Raw genomic sequence first — 17,964 nt, forward strand, 5'->3', positions numbered from 1 at the left:
TTAACCACAGAAGTGATTTTATATAGCATTTCAGCAGAGGTAGATAAAAACATTACCCAGTGCAACAAATTAACCTAAAAAAGAATAATAGATCATATAAGGATTATAGGAGCAAGAGAAAATGGTTGCTAATATTTATTATTCTTTGAAAGCCACAACTATTTTCCGTTTAAATTTTGTAACTGTTGTCAAACTTATTAGCAATGTGGAGAAAGGAATCTTCGGTGGTGTATTTTCACCTGTTCTGTCCCTACCTTTGTTCTGTCTCCAATCTCAGTGGTCCTTCGGGTCCTTCATATTCAGACAAAGTTACTGAGCTGTTGACAGTCTCTAGTCTCTAGTTGGATGGATGAGCTGCTCTGAGTCATCCACACTTTTATCTTGTGAGATCATTCATTCTATGAGCAATGACATCAATTTTCCAGAAGGCTGGCTGGCTGGGAATAAAGATAAAGGCCATGACTACAGAAGGAATTAAGTTAAAGGGCTTGGAATAGCATCTGATACATAGTAGGAGCTTGAGAAGTATTTGCTGCTTAAAAGTCTTCAACTGTTTTACTTTGCACCAGTTATACATCTAACCAGATCATGATGGAGCAAGTTTTCATTTTTGTTTGTATTGTAATTATAATCCTGGCTTTAAAAATATTGAGTGAATTTTCGGTGCCAAAATTAAGCATGTAAGCTCTACTTTTGCATTCCGAGCCCTCCACACTTTTATGGATTCATTTCCAATATTCAATTTCCTGTACATTTTGCTTAAGGAACTTGTAGAGAAGAATTGCTCATCTGGTAGCGCTCCACAACCCTTACCCACTTTGAGCAGTGTCACATACTAAACTTTGACATAAAATATTGCTGGCAGAGATGTTTTGGCTTTTGGTATTAATGTTAATATCAAAAAACCCCCTTAAAACACTTTCACTCTAAAAGAACTTAAGCTTTAGACAAACTCTGCTAATTCACCATTTTCTCCCCCACAAACTGGGAAGCCTCAGTTATCTTTTGATGACTTGAAACTGATTTCAATTATTTGTGTTATTGCCAGCAATATAAATGAAAAAAATAGTCAGGCATGGTGGCTTAGGACTGTTATCCTGGCACTTTGGGAGGCTGAGGTGGCAGGATCACTTGAGTCCAGGAGTTTGAGACCAACCTAGGCAACATAGCAAGACCCTGCTACAAAAAATAAAATATTAGCTGGACATGGTGGTGTGTGCCTTGTGGTCCTAGCTACTCGAGAGGCTGAGGTGGAAGGATCACCTGAGCCTGGGAGGTCAAAGCTACAGTGAGCCGTGATTGTGACCATGTCAGTATACTCAGCCCGGGGAACAGTGAGACCTTGTCTCAAAAAGCAACAAAAAAAGGGAAAATAGAGGGGGTCTGGTTTCCCTCATAGAAGTACTAGATAGATACTGGGTAGTGAATGTTTGTTCCCTCAGAGGAGGATAAAGTTCTCTAGAGCAGAACTTCACAAACTGTAGTGTAGGTGAGAATCACTGGAGATATCATCACAATGCAGTTTCTGATTGGGTAGGTTCAGAGTGAGGCTTGGGAATATGCATTTTTAACAAATCTCCAGGTAATGAAGATGTTGCTGGTCCACACTGAAATCACCTGGGGCAGTTTTTGTTTGTTTTATAGACAGGGTCTGGCTATTGCTGCTCAGGCTGGTTTCTAACTCCTGTCTTCAGGCAATCCTCCCACCTCAACCTCCCAAAGTGCTGGGAGTATAGGTGTGAGCCACTATGACCGGCCATCTGGCCAGTTTTTTAAAAATATACAGGTGTTTAGTTTCCACTCTCACCCCATCCCACCTCCCTGGATTCTGATTTAGTTGGCTTGGGTTATGGCCTGAGTACGGGGACTTTTTAAATTTCGCAGATGATGGTAATGTGCAGTCAAGTTTAAGAACCTCTAGATTCATTTATCTCCGTTTCCTCTTGGCAGTCCATTCACTTACAGACATTACTTGCCTGGCCCCTAGAGACATGTGATTTTCTGAATTAAATACCTTGCCCTTTCTTAAGGAAATCACACTAGTCTTTCAAAACCCTTTTTCAAATACCACTGCATTCTTCAGATATATAATACATTTAAAAAATTATTCTAACATTACAAAATTCTACTTCGCTCTAAATCCTATACAACTTTGCTTATAATTCCTATGGCAGTGACCACATTCTGCTTTCTAATTATGTGTATTTATCTTAACCTCCTTGATTGATAAACTACCTAAAGGCAGAGATTGTCTCACCTCTTTTTATGTTTCCTAGCAGTTTCCCGGTTCGCCCAGGCTAGAGTGCAGTGGCAGAATCTTGGCTCACTGCAAACTCCACGGCCTGGGTGCAAGCGATTCTCCTGCCTCAGCCTCCCGAGTAACTGGGATTACAGGCATAAGCCACCAGTCCGGCTAATTTTTGTATTTTCAGTAGAGACGGGTTTTCACCATGTTGGCCAGGTTGGCTTTGAACTCCTGACCTCATGTGATCTGCCTGCCTCGGCCTCCCAAAGTGTTAGGATTACAGGCGTGAGCCACCGTGCCCAGCCAGATCTAGGAGATTTTAAACTGATATTTTAATATTTCAATTTGGATTGATTGATTGATTGATTGATTTTTTGAGACAGAGTCTCACTCTGTCACCAGGCTGGAGTGCAATGACGCAATTTCGGCTCACTGCAACCTCTGCCTCCCGGGTTCAAGTGGTTCTCCTGCCTCAGCCTCCCAAGTAGCTGGGACTACAGGTGTGTGCCACCACGCCTGGCTAACTTTTGTATTTTTAGTAGAGACAGGGTTTCAACATGTTGGCCAGGATGGTCTCGATCTCTTGACCTCATGATCCTCCCACCTTGGCCCCTCAAAGTGCTGGGGTTACAGGCATGAGCCACCGCGCCTGGCCTGGATTTATCTTGTTATGAGTGAAGTTGAACCTCTGTCGCCCAGGCTGGAGTGCAGTGGTGCCATCTCGGCTCACTGCAAGCTCCGCCTCCCAGGTTCACGCCATTCTCCTGCCTCAGCCTTCCAAGTAGCTGGGACTACAGGCTCCCGCCACCACGCCTGGCTAATTTTTTGTATTTTTAGTAGAGACGGGGTTTCACCATGTTAGCCAGGATGGTCTCAATCTCCTGACCTCGTGATCCGCCCACCTCAGCCTCCCGAAGTTCTAGGATTACAGGCGGGAGCCACCGCCCCCGGCCCGGAAAATCTTTTGTTAAAGAGCCATTGATGTTTTCCTTCTGTAAACTACCTGTTTTGTTGTTGTGTTGTTAGTTGCTGGCCTATCAGTTTTTGTCTTATACGAAGTTTTGCTTTTGATAGTTAAACTTACCAATATTTTACATTATGATTTCAGGATTTTGAGACATAGTTACAAAGTCCTTTTTTACTCCAAGACTATAAATGAATTCTTCGATAGTGCATTATAGGACATTTACAGCTCCACCTTTTTACTTTTAAGTATTTGATCTTTCATATATATTTCATATATGATATAAGGCATGGATCAAAAAAATTTTTTTGCATGCCCATTTGCTGTCCAAATATCTTTTTAAAAATTATTTTTTAAAAGTTAACTGAGCCGGGCGTAGTGGCTCATGCCTGTAATCCCAGCACTTTGGGAGGCCAAGGTGGGCAGATCACAAGGTCAGGACTTTGAGGCCAGCCTGGCCAATATGGTGAAACCCCGTCTCTACTAAAAACAGAAAAAATTAGCCGGGTGTGGTGGCACGCACCTGTAGTCCCAGCTACTCGGGAGGCTGATGCAGAAGAATTGCTTGAACCTGGGAGGCAGATGTTGCAGTGAGCCGGGATTGTGCCACTGTACTCCAGCCTGGGTGACAGAGAGAGACACCGTCTCAAAGAAAAAAAGAAAGTTAACTGAGATGACCGAGCATGGTGGCTCACGCCTGTAAGTCGAGCACTTTGGGAGGCTGAGCTGGGAAAATCACTCGAGCTCAGGAGTTCAAGACCAGCCTAGGCAACATAGTGAGACCTTGTTTCTTTTCTTTTCTTTTCTTTTCTTTTATTTTATTTTATTTTACTTTATTTTATTTTTGAGACAGAGTCTCACTGTCTACCAGGCTGGAGTGCAGTGGCACAATCTCGGCGGACTGCAAGCTCTGCCTCCTAGGGTCACGCCATTCTCCTGCCTCAGCCTCCCGAGTAGCTGGGACCACAGGTGCCCGCCACCACGCCCGGCTAATTTTTTGTATTTTTAGTAGAGACGGGGTTTCACCATGTTAGCCAGGATGGTCTCAATCTCCAGACCTCGTGATCCGCCCACCTTGGCCTCCCAAAGTGCTGGGATTACAGGCGTGAGCCACCTCGCCCGGCCTTGTCTCTATTTTAAAAAGAAAAAGAAGGGCTGGGTGCCGGTGCCTCACACCTGTAATCCCAGTACTTTGGGAGGCTGAGGTGGGGTGGATCACCTGAGGTCAGGGGTTTGAGACCAGCCTGGCCAACATGGTGAAACCGTGTCTCTACTAAAAATACAAAAATTAGCAGGGCATGGTGGCACATGCCTGTAATCCCAGCTACGCGGGAGGCTGAGGCAGGAGAATCACTTGAGCCTGGGAGGGAGAGGTTGCAGTGAGCTGAGATCGTGCCATTGCACTTCAGCCTGGGTGTCAGAATGAGACTCCGTCTCACCAAAAAAAAAAAAAAAGAGAGAGAAAAAGTTAACTGACAGTATTGAGAAAGGAAAGCAAGATTCAAATCCAGGAGATCAGTTCTAGAAAAGTAAGTCATAGAGTACCAAAGTAAATGAAGTGTTGGGGAAATTTAAATATTCAATCTGTATAGCTAGATGGATAGCTAATATTTTACATAGGTGTTGTCATTACCTCCGCTTCATGGTAGGCATGGCCAATTTTTCATGGCACTTTTCCTTACAATATATTGTTTTATGCAGCAACTTTCAATTAATAAAAATAAACACATTTGCTATCCTGGTGTAGAATTTGGTTTAGAAGGAATGATAGCAAGAGATATGTCTGAAATGGCAGGTGATATCAGGGTCCTGAATGCATATTAAGCAATAGAGACAATGTGAATTTTTTTAAGGTAAAAAATGGCATGATAATACATGTGTTAAGAGAAAGGAAAGAGGTCAGGTGCGGTGGCTCACGCCTGTAATCCCAGCACTTCAGGAGTCTGAGATGGGAGGATCACTTGAGGTCAGGAGTTTGGGACCAGCCTGGTCAACATGGTGAAACCCCGTCTCTACTAAAAATACCAAAATTAGCCTGGCATGATGGCGGGTGCCTGTAATCCCAGCTACTCGGGTGGCTGAGGCAGGAGAATCGCTTGAACCCAGGAGGCGGAGGTTGCAGTGAGCTGAGATCGCACCATTGCACTCCAGCCTGGGCAACAGAGCAAGACTCTGTCTCAAAAAAAAAAAAAAAAAAAAAAAGAGAGAGAGAGAAAGGAAAGAATAATGCATTGAATGAGAGAAACCAAAGGCTTCTAATACGGGTAGACCAATCCAGGGATGCTGAAGACCTGAACTTAGGTAGTAGAGTAAAATAAAGGGGAAGGGCCATCTTCCAGAGCGAACTCAACAGGACATGTCAGAATTAAACTCAGCAGGACTTGGAAACCAATTAGCTATAGGTAGTAAAAGAGAATGTAATAAAATTGATTGACCTTTCTAGCTTGTGCATGTGGTGCTGCTGAGAATCCAGAAGAATCCAGACTGAGGAGTTAGCAGAAGGAACAAGTTTGGGGATGGAGAGATACTGATAAAAGAATGAGTGTGGTTTTCGGTTTCAGATATCAATACTATATTTGGAGTGCTTGCATTTGCCTAACACAGGGCTGAGGTGTGATGTGCCTAGCTATGGTGTGTTTAGAAATAAAGAGAAAATGTAATGCTGATGTACACGAGGAATGTACTCAAGGAAGGAAATTGCAAATGCAGAAGCTATAGAATGACAAATTAGATCTGTGAATTCCCAATGTAAAAGATAACTACTTCAGCAATGGTGAGACAGAATGAACTTGCAAATGGAGCATGTAATGAAAATAAAAAAAGAAAAAAAAACTAAACTAAAGCTGACACAAGTCTGAGTAAGATGGAATAGGAAGCATGAGGTGGTCTTAGAATAATAATTTAGTATTAGCCTCCGCCTGCCAGTCCCAGCATACTATGTCCAAGTGTGGCCTCCAGGACTTTATTTATTTATTTAGAGACAGAGTCTTCAGGACTTTACTATTTATTTATTTATTTATTTATTTTGAGACAGAGTCTCGCTCCATCACCCAGGCTGGAGTGCAGTGGCACGATCTTGACTCACTGAAACCTCTGCCTCCCGGGCTCAAGCGATTCTCTTACCTCAGCCTCCCAAGTAGCTGGGATTACCGGTGCCCACCACCACACCCAGCTAATTTTTTGTATTTTTGGTAGAGACAGGATTTCACCATGTTGGTCAGGCTGGTCTCAAACTCCTGACCTCAAGTGATCCCCCCGCCTTGGCCTCCCAAAGTGCTGGGATTACAGACATAAGCCACCGTGCCCAGCCTGCCTCCAGGACTTTAGACATTAGAATGCTGGAGAACATTCAAAGAGCAACCAAGATCATTAAAGGGTTAGAAAAATATAGCTGAGGTATAAAAGTATATTTGAGTTAGCCTGGAGAAAAGAAGAACCAATGGTGACTCCATTCACAATAAATAAATGAAGGCATTGTAGAAATACTTCCCCAGAGTTCAGAGAAAGAGAGGGGATTACATTGTAAACTGATATGCATGAAATATAGTGCAAAACTTCCTGAGGTGAAAGTTAAATATTAGAGTTACATTGGGTAGTTCATGTTGTCTAGACTTTGTGAAATCTTCTGCTTGTGAATCTTTAAAGTCTGGAGAACTACATAGGAAATCCTCTATTTAGCAAGCACTCTGTAGTTAAGGATTGAAGTTCCTGATCCCCAGGAAAAGCCTACCGCAAATACTGCCATAAAATCCCCACTCTAAGTCATCTACACTGTCAGCGCCCCTTCAAGAGCCATTCATTCATTGAATAACTATTTATAAACAATGTACGGGAGTTGTTATTTTAGATGCCAAAGATATGGAGTGAACAAAACAGAAGAAAGGAATGTATCCAATCAAAGTTTATTGAATGTTGCTCCATTTCAGGTACTGAGCAACTAGCAGCTCAGCTCTTGTAAAACCTACCTTCTTGAAAACCTGTCTCTTGCCATAGTTCCCACTTCTTGGATCGCTCATCCATTTCCTCTCATATCTCTGCCTGACTCTGGTATCTCAGAGATCAATGCAGGGGACAGAGAATCCTTGCTCCAAAAATAAATAGAGGGTTCAAGAGTCTGGATCTAATATTTTTCAAATAGAACATAAATTTTCTATAGTTTTAATTTATCTCAAATTTATCTAAGATATAATTTATTCATTGGGTTTACTCATTTCCTTTCGACTATCTGCTGTCTGACTGCTAGTAGTGGATGAGACAGCAGGATGATCAATGATGGTGCTTTTTGGAATCATAGTGAATTATATGAATTGTTGAGACAGGCAAAATTTGAATATACATTATTTAGGTTGTTTATGTAGTACATATAGATATACTATGTTTTTCTAAATGTTTGATAACAAAATATTTGGAAAGAAGGCTAACACAAAAGTACATGTTGAAAAATCAGCTGAATGTCCTTAAGTGCATATTTAGAATTGGAAATTTAATGCCATACTGATTGTGAGTTCTTTGACTTCTTTGAAGGAAGTGTTTGATGGAGTTTGTTTTCTTGGTACTGAATTCAGCGTAGGGGCAAGGACTGTTTTTATCTTTGTGGAATTCAACTATGCTGACTTAGAAGCTACCTGTAGGATAGGTTGTCATTTTCCTCCAAATACTTTGAAGCTTCCCTCTATCATTCGACCTGATTCTCAGAAAGAAGTGGCAGTGGCAGAAGGTAGAATTAGGGAGAAAAGGTCCAGAGCCAGCACTGTTGGAACAGATCATTTCACTGGAAGAATTTTCACTAATTCAGAGATTTGCAAACTAACCTGAATAAATTTGTAATAATTATAGTATGAAGTGAGCATTCTGAAATTAATTCTTTGTGTTTTTATAGAGAAGTTACCTATGATCATAATAAATACAGTGATCAACATACCACACATAGGAAATATGATAGGTGCTTCATGAAAATTTTCCCGTTAACTCTTCATAAACACCCTGTAAAGTAAGGCATATTTTGCAGATTAAAAAAACAAAAACAAACTGAGTCCCATATAGTAAATGGTTGTGCCGGGATTTAGACTGAAATCTGTCTGGGTCTAAGTCTGTATCTTTTTCATTATATCACATCATGTCTTGCTATTGTGCCTATCATTGTACTTTTTTAAGAAAACAAGTGATTTAGGGCTGGGGGCCGTGGTTTATGCCTATAATCCCAGCATTTTGGGAGGCCGAGGTGGGTGGATTGCTTGAGCCCAGCAGTTTGAGACCAGTCTGGCCAACATGGGGAAACCCTGTCTCTACAAAAAATACAAAAAATAGTTGGGCATGGTGGTGAGTGCCTGTAGTCCCAGCTATATGGGAGGCTGAGATGGGAGGATGGCTTGAGCCCCGGAGGTCAAGGCTGCAGTGAGCCATGATCATGCCACTGCACTCTAGCCTGGGCGACAAGAGTGAGACCCTGTCTCTAAAAAAATAAATAAATAAAAGAGAGAGAAGATGAAGAAAGAAAATGAGTGATTTAGAATTTACCCTTTTAAGTTCAAAGATTTCAACATTCCCGGAAGTGTTTTTTGGGTTAAGTAGGCCTTCTGAAGTGAATATTTTCTGTTTGAGGCCAAAGATTAATAGCAGTTAGATGACAACACCAACACTGTTACTAGTCAGCCATGCCTTCCAGGCATAAGTAAAGGTAATTTTTTAAGGTCAGGGAGTTTTAAAAGAGCTCAAATGTTTGAGGGAGAAATAGTGGTGAATGTGATAGTGACTTGTGAATTAAAACCAAGTTTGAGGGCCGGGCGCGGTGGCTCACGCCTATAATCCCAGCACTTTGGGAGGCCAAAGCGGGTGGATCACAAGGTCAGGAGTTAAAGACCAGCCTGGCCAAGATGGTGAAACCCTGTCTCTACTAAAATTACAAAAAAATTGGCCAGGTGTGGTGGCGGGCACCTGTAATCCCAGCTACTCAGGAGGCTGAGATGGAGAATTGCTTGAACCTGGGAGGCAGAGGTTGCAGTGAGCCGAGATGGCGCCCCTGCACTCCAGCCTGGGTGACAGAGCGAGACTCCTGTCTCAAAAAAAAAAAAAAAAAAAAAAGAACCAAGTTTGAACATCATTCATGTCTGGGCTTGAAGAATAGACAGAAAGGACAATAGCTAGAGATGCCACAGAGATAATGTCACCAAGCAATGATTACCTAGGCTAAGTCAGCTAAGCCTAGAGAGTATGATTGAAAGGGGTATGAGGAAAGTTAAGTGTGAAAGTATGTATGTAAATGAATCACTTCCCTTCAAAGTAGAATTTCAGATCCATTTAGTAAAAAGATCCATTGTATTCAAGGTTGCCCTGCCAAATTACCCAAGGGCATGTATTTTCATGACATTATTGGTCTTATGTGTGTTGTTTTCTTGACAATAGGAGTTTCCCTCCTAAGTGTAAGTAGTAATACTTAAATATTAATAAAAGAACATAGTATTTCCTTGTCCCCCACTACCCATCCTTACGCCGTGTTGTATAATTTATTGTAAATAAATTGTTAATGATACATTCTTGCACTAGAAGTGCACAATTTTTGGGTTCAGTATGTTTCTTAAATAAGAGGTCACAGTAAACCAAATACTTACTATGAAACAAATAACTGGTACTCCACAGTTACAATCTTAATGTGATTTTTACCTTGAGTTCATAGCTAAAGTTTGAGGCAATCCATTAATTGGATGCTTTAGCACTAAAACAGAAATTTGTCTCAGACAAGAAAACACTTTTTTGTTTTGTAAACTTGCTTGTTTTTGAATTTTAAATAGGGCAAAATGAATTTACCATATTATACACTTTTATGTGTATTATTCTTTTTTCTCAGCAACTTGCTTTTTAAGCCTTTGAAAATGAGAGCCTGAAAACACTGTGAATATGCTTGTAACATTGCAAAAATATTCCATCCAAGTAAGGAGGTTTTTGGTCATTTATTAAAAAAAATAACAATACAACCAACTAAACAAAAAACCACACACACACACACACACACACACACACACACACACACCGTCTTAGATATGCAGGTTGGGAAAAATTACATTAACGATTCAAAAGTTAAAGACTTTGTCATTTCCTAAAAATTTGTACTCAGGAATAAAATTAAGAGAAAGATCATTTACCAGTCAAAATCTTGTGATCCCTTCAGCTGTATTTGTATATAAAGAAGGCCTGGCCAGGTGCGGTGGTTCATACCTGTAATTCCGGCACTTTGGGAGGCCGAGGCGGGTGAATCACATGAGGTTGGTAGTTCGAGACCAGCCTGACCAACATGGAGAAACCCCACCTCTACTAAAAATACAAAAAATTAGCTGGGTATGCTGGCGGGCGCCTGTAATCCCAGCTACTCGGGAGGCTGAGGCAGGAGAATCACTTGAACCTGGGAGGCAGAGGTTACCGTGAGCCGAAATCGTGCCACTGCACTCCAGCCTGGGCAACAAGAGCAAAACTCCGTCTCAAATAAGGAAAAAAAAAAAAAAAAGGAAGAAGGCCTAAAAACAAGACAAAAAAATCACTAAAAAATAAAAAATAACTTAAAAAAAGAAGAAAAAAAGTAATAAAAGAAGGCCTGTTGTTTCCAGGTATTAAAGATACAAGATACGGTGATTGTCCACTCAGAAGGAGGGAGGGGGTGCACATTTTATTCAAGTCAGTAAACTTCAAGCCGGGCACGATGGCTCACTTCTGTAATCCCAGCACTTTGGGAAGCCGAGGCGGGTGGATCACCTGAGGTCAGGAGTTTAAGACCTGCCTGGCCAACATGGCGAAACCCCACCTCTACTAAAAGTACAAATATTAGCCGGATGTGGTCGATGGCGGGCGCCTGTAATCCCAGCTACTCAGGAGCCTGAGGCAGGAGAATCACTTGAACCCAGAAGGCGGAGATTGCAGTGAGCCGAGATCCTGAGATCCTGCCACTGCACTCCAGCCTGGGCGAAAAGAGAGAGACTCCATCTCAAAAAAAAAAAAAAAAAAAAAAGTTTAGTAAACTTCTAAAAGGGGCCGGGCGCAGTGACTCACGCCTGTAATCCCAGCACTTTGAAAGACCGAGGCGGGTGGATCGATCATCTGACGTCAGGAGTTCAAGACCAGCCTGGACAACATGGTGAAAACCCATCTCTACTAAAAATACAAAAATTACCCGGGCGTGGTGGCGGGCGCCTGTAATCCCAGCTACTTAGGAGGCTGAGGCATGAGAATCGCTTGAACCCGGGAGGTGGAGGTTGCAGTGAGCTGAAAATGTACCATTGCACTCCAGCCTGTGCGACAGAGGGACACTCTGTCTCAAAAAAAAAGAAAGAAAGAAAGAAAGAAAGATTTAAAACTGTTGACAACTTTTTTTCTTTTTTTTTCTTTTTTTTTGAGACGGAGTTTCGCTCTTGTTGCCCAGGCTGGAGTGCAATGGCACGATCTCGGCTCACCGCAACCTCCGCCTCCCAAGTTCAAGCGATTCTCCTGCCTCAGTCTCCCGAGTAGCTGGAATTACAGGCACCTGCCACCACGCCCGGCTAATTTTTTGTATTTTTAGTAGAGACGGGGTTTCTCCATATTGGTCAGGCTGATCTCGAACTCCGGACCTCAGGTGATCCGCCCGCCTCGGCCTCCCAAAGTGCTAGGATTACAGGCCTGAGCCACTGCGCCCAGCCTGACAACTTATTTTAATTAGCCAGTTATATAAGGAGTCCATTTTCACCATTATATGTCCCCACTCTTAGTCCTTTTATTAAGTACCTAATTGTGTGCAAGGCATTGCTATGGAAGATGAGCCAGGAAAATGCATATTTAAGATAAGATCTTTGTTCATTCCGGATTGCTCAGCGGACACCAGCAAAGCAGTGATACCAAAAATGGAGGAAAGCTCAGTGATGATACACTTAACCACATTTTTCTTTTTGGAGAACAGTCTCGCTCTGTCACCTGGGCAGGAGAGCAGTGGCACAATCTCCAGGGATCGAGCAATTCTCCCACGTTAGCCTCCTGAATAGCTGGGACTACAGTTGCCTGCGCCATACCTGGCTAATTTTTGTATTTATTGTAGAGACAGGGTTTCACCACATTGCCCATGCTGGTCTCGAACTCCTGGGCTTAAATGATCTGCCCTCCTTGGACTCCCGAAGTGCTGGAATTATAGAAGTGAGCCACTGTGCCTGGCCGGCCAAATTTTTACAAGCAAAGAGAAGCTCTTAATTTAAGTATATATGTACATTTTCCGATTTAAAACTAGGTGCTGATTTTATTTGAAAAATATATGAGGAATCACAAGCTCTTCAAAGCTTCAGGCCTCCTCTAAATGAGGCCCTCCCTTGCACTCTTAGTCTTGAGGAGATTAAAAGTCTCTGAGATCTTCTTATGTTTTGTGCACTTTATTATTCCCCTACAGATAGCAGTCTTATGACCAAAAACCCTAAAATGTGTCAGATTCCCCTTGTGATAAGGTCTTGCTCAGATTCAGATTGTCAGACCCTGACAGCAATGAATTCAATCCTGTCTTGATTGTCTGACTATATACTAGGGCTCCTTTCCAATTTCTTTTTCTCTTGATGGCTCTGTTCCTGAAGACTTGAGATGACAGTAACAAAATTTTAATTAGACATATAATGGAGAAAATAATACAAGTACTTTTTTTCAGGGTTGTAAGATAAGCATTACTAATCTATATATTATCTTAAAAAAAAACAAGACTTACATAATTATGTAGAAATGAAAGTAGAAGAGCTTCATTTAAATACCAAACCACCTATCTAGCTTTTAGGGAAGACCTCAGGCGTTTCTACTGCAGAGGGTAGGCTATAGTTAGAGTCAGCTGGAAAGTATTTGTGCAAGGTACAGATGAGGGTAAAAAGAATGCCAGGTAAAATATTATCAATGGGTAGTAATTTTCCCGAGCAAATTTCTCCAAAAGACATGATTTTTCTATATAGAGTTCCTCATCTGTATCCCAGGCTTACAGACTGGCTGGCAAGTTTTATTGCCAGGAAAATTGATAAATAGTTGTAGCCTGGAGATACGGTTTCTCTCCTTGCACATAAATGTCTTCCCATATCCCTTGGCTGTTTTTATCTCAAAGCATTAATCTGTATTTCTGGGGGAAAATATATTCATGATTATGCATCAGTATATTCTTAACAGCTCAAAGATTTGCCTTAAAATTGCATTTTAAAATATTACTTTTCTGAATTAAATGAAGAATTCACTATTACCTAGATCTGGAGTTTTGAACCAGAGATATGCAAGTTCTAATTTGCTATAATGACTCTAGAGAGTTTAGTCCTGAGCCATTTTTCAAAACATTTTGAAACAGTAGTTCTAGAAATCTGCATTAAACAAAACAAAATGACACCCCCACCCCGCGCCCAATGACTCACATCTACCTCAGTGATTAAAGCAAAATAGCTACAACTTCAATAATTGTCCATTCTTCCATTTTAAAATGGAATAAGCTATGAAGATGCCCATTTAAATTGTGCCAAATTTATGCCATTCTGTATACAGGAGGGCTGGCGATGTGATTCGAGCCACACCAGCTTCCCACCATTAGCAACACTCCCTAAAGGCAATTATTTTATCCAAATTAACATAACCCAGAAGACCTGAGTAGCTGAAAAATGAGGATGAGTGACTTCTGTTTCACTCTCCATGGAGCAACTATGTGAGGATGAGCAACTTCTAAGGATCTGCCAATTCTAACATGCCATATATGTTTCTTAATTTCTTTTTATTAACCCACAGCTAGACATTTTCTTGTATAATACAAAGTGAGACTGGGAAGGAATTGGAAACAAGACAGATAAGTCTGAGGGAAGGAAGATGTGCATTGTATACTGAATGGCCAGGAGCTGCATTGAGAATCTCTAAATACTGAGGGGCAGCAAAAAAGCACTGAAGAGGAAAAGAAATTCCAAAGATGGGAGAGGATGGCTATCTCATGCTTCTGGGACTGTCTACTGTGTGAACAATTTATTAAGTCCTTTGGGGAAGAGATCTCTCTTTAAAGAGACATTAAAATGCATTTTAGAAATATGGACCTCTGGTATAAGGAACATTTACAAAGATAACCGCTTTGCATTAGATCAGCAAAGTCAATGTCATTTCTACCATCTTTACTAATGCTACAATTAAAACATGTAAGTAACTACTTTAATGTTATAATTAAAGCATACATTGAAACAGTAAATATTTATGTACTATTCATCATCTGTAAGAAAACTGTGAGAAAGATTTAGATGTTCCCTCTACCCTGGGAGCTTATGAGATAACACTTGCAGGGTTGATGAATTGTCTGTACTTTGAACATATGAAATTCTCCAAAAACATTCATATATCACAGTTGCTCCATGGAGAGTGAAACAGTAAACTAAAATGCTTGAATCTTTTGCTACTTAATTTACTTTTCCCTTAGGAAAGTTTAAGATAAGTGAACTTTTAACATCTGGCTAACATCTTAAATTTTTACATATATTAATGATTGTTAAATTGCTTTATCACCTTAGCAGGCTCATCTTAGATCAACCAACAGCCACATCCACTTTAATTCATTACTGAATGCATATTTAGTATATATTATATGCCGGGCACTGTGCTAGGCACTGGGATACAGATGGAAACAAAAGGCCTCTGTCCTCATGAAACATACATTCTAGTGGAAAGACAAGTATAAAACAAATAATCGCAAGTAATTAATTGCAAATGTGATAAGCACTTTGAAGAAAAAGGATGAGGGTGAATGGGAAGGTGCTCAGGAAATTTCTTTCAACAAAAGTGAAAATTAAGCAGAGACCTGAAAATATGAGAAGTTAGTCTGGAAGAGATAGGGTGGACCAGTTCCTCCCATTTTCCAGGCGGAGATCTTGAATCTTCTTTACATTCTAACCCATTATTCTTAAGCAATGTTATCCAGTCCTACAGTTTCAAATGTAATCTAAAATGCTGACAATTCCAAAATGTATTATCTGATTCAGACTTCTCTTCAGAGCTTGACCTGCATAGTCCATTACCTACTTGGCATCTCCACTGATGTCTCTTGTGTATTAATATCTCAAACTTGAAATATCTCAATTATTAAGTCTTCATTCCTCATCACCACTTCCAAATCTGCCCCTCCTCCAAATTTCTCCTTGTTGGTAAAAGATACCTCCATCCACATAGTTGTTTGTGTCAGAAACTCAAGAGTTATCCTTGCCGGGCACGGTGGCTTACCCCTGTAATCCCAGCACTTTGGGAGGCCAAGGTGAGCGGATCACGAGGTCAGGAAATCGAGATCATCCTGGTTAACACGGTGAAACCCCATCTCTAAAAATACACACACACACACAAATTAGCCAGATGTGGTGGCGGGTGCCTGTAGTCCCAGCTACTCAGGAGGCTGAGGCAGGAGAATCGCTTGAACCCGAGAGGTAGAGGTTGCAGTGAGCCGAGATCACACCACTGCACTCCAGCCTGGACGACAGAGCGAGATTCCTTTCAAAAAAAAAAAAAAAAAAGAGTTATCCTTGACCTTCAACCCACCCCCACACACATCTTACACAGTTTATAGCCAGGTCCCATCAATTCTACCTCCAAAATATATATCTCAAGTCTGTCTCCTCTCTTTGACACTGCTTCTACACCAGCATATTTTGCTTGGATTACTGCAGTAGCACCAATAAACACAAACTCAATATTGTCTGAATACAACCACAGCTCTGGAGCCACAGACAGCATTCTGGAGGAGATTCTTTTATCTCAGTATATGTCATGGCAATTGCTTTGTTCTTACATTATACAAATGATTCAGCAAACTTTCTTTTCTGATGGCTAGTAAGGCTATCAATAACTTTCTTTTAAGACAATCTCGCTCTTGTCATCCAGGCTAAAGTAAAGTGGCGATTGTAGCTCAATGTAGCCTTGAACTCCTGGGATCAAGCAATCCTGCTTCAACCTCTCAAGTAGCTGGGACCACAGGTGCATGCCACCATGCCTGGCTATTTTTTATTTTTTTATTTTTTATAGAGATAGGGGATCTCACCATGTTGGCTAAGTTGGTCTCAAAGTCCTAGGCTCAAATGATCTGCCCACTTTGGCCTCCCAAAGTGCTGGGATTACAGGAATGAGCCACTACTGCACCCTTCCAAGGCTATCAGTAACTTAAAATTAATTTTTCCCTGTGGTACTATATAGAGAAAACTCATTTTATATGTGTGTGTGTGTGTGTGTGTGTGTGTGTGTATGGTTTGGGTTTTTTTTTTTTTTTTTTTAATAAACTGAGACAAGTTTAATAAACTGAGACAAACTCCTGGGCTTTTGACTGACTGCATTCAAGTTGGGGTTCCCACAACCCCCTCTTAGGATTCGATTACTTTACTGGATTGTCTCACAGAACTCAGTGTAGCATGTTTGTTGGTTTATTATAAAGGATACAGATGAAAAGATGTGTAGGGTGAGGGATGGTGGAAGGGATGCAGGGCTTCCATGCCCTCCCTGGGCACACTACCCTCCAAGAACCTCCAAGTATTCCGCTATTCGGAAGCTCTGTGAATCCTGTCCTCTTGGTTTTTCAGAGAAGCTTCAGGACATCAGCACTCCTTTGCCCATAGGGTGGGAGCCTTTCAGAGAAGGGTCTTAAGACCCTTAATCAGAAAGTCGGGGAAACATTAGAGTAGAAGAAGGGCAAGAGAAGGTCAGAGGCCTGCCAGAGAGGCCTAACACACCCAACAGTGTAACAAAAGACTGCAACAAGGGCAATGGTAGTTATGAACCGGGAACCATGGACGAAAACCATTATGTATCATAACACCACAGGCACCTAACCAAAAGGAAGAATTTGAGGAAGAAATTATTTTCACACGACTACTGGAAGAACTGAACTGGTTATTTCACTTGACATCTGAGTTTAAAATGTCAAGTCAAATATCCTACTAAAAAATTCAATCTCTAATTAAAACACCAAACATATTTTGGCCCCAAGCTGTACAGCTATTTAAAAAATATATCAGCATTTGGCCTGGTGCGGTGGCTCATGCCTGTAATCCCAGCACTTTGGGAGGCCGAGGCAGGTGGATCACTTGAGGTCAAGAGTTTGAGACCAGCCTGGCCAACAGGGTGAAATCCTGTCTTTACTAAAAATACAAAAATTAGCCAGGCACGGTGGCAGGCACCTGTAATTCCAGCTACTCAGGAGGCTGAGCAGGAGAATCTTGAACCCAGGGGGTGGAGGTTGCAATGAGCTGAGATCACGCCACTGCACTCCAGCCTGGGAGACAGAGTGAGACTCTGTCTTAAATATATCTATATATCTATATATATAGAGATATATATATCAGCTTTATGACATAGAGCTAGAGAGTTACAAATATAAAAATAAAAATAGAATATATATACAGCTAATTTTTATAACACCCTCAAAATACAGTATTACTTCAAAGTTTAAATAACTTGTACTTAAAAAAAAGAGAGATCAAATTGTTAAACGAAATTGTAACATAATTCATTTAACCATAATGTAGAGTTGTTGATAACCACCCATTTTTTCTGTTAGTGCTTAAAAATACTTAAACATGCTATTGAATGAAAATATATTAATCCTTGCTGGGTCTTTAAAGTGTTTCCAAAAAATATCCTTAAAAGCAATCTCAATTTGTGATCAAGAATATTGACCAGTATATAACATCTATGTTCATTTGCAACAGAGATGTGGGAAAAGTATTGGCATTTACGCAAGATCAGTTTTATTCCATTCTGAGGTAGAAAGCAATGCAAACTT

At 41.0% G+C, this 17,964-nt stretch overlaps 1 protein-coding gene across 1 annotated transcript in view; it reads left to right on the forward strand.

Annotated features, from left to right (window-relative positions):
- Positions 1-17,964, forward strand: part of SLC39A10 (solute carrier family 39 member 10) — a 124,672-nt gene that overhangs the window by 676 nt on the left and 106,032 nt on the right. The window lies entirely within an intron of this gene.

The sequence above is a fragment of the Homo sapiens genome, chromosome 2, assembly GCF_000001405.40.
Source record: "Homo sapiens chromosome 2, GRCh38.p14 Primary Assembly".
Classification (NCBI taxonomy): domain Eukaryota; kingdom Metazoa; phylum Chordata; class Mammalia; order Primates; family Hominidae; genus Homo; species Homo sapiens.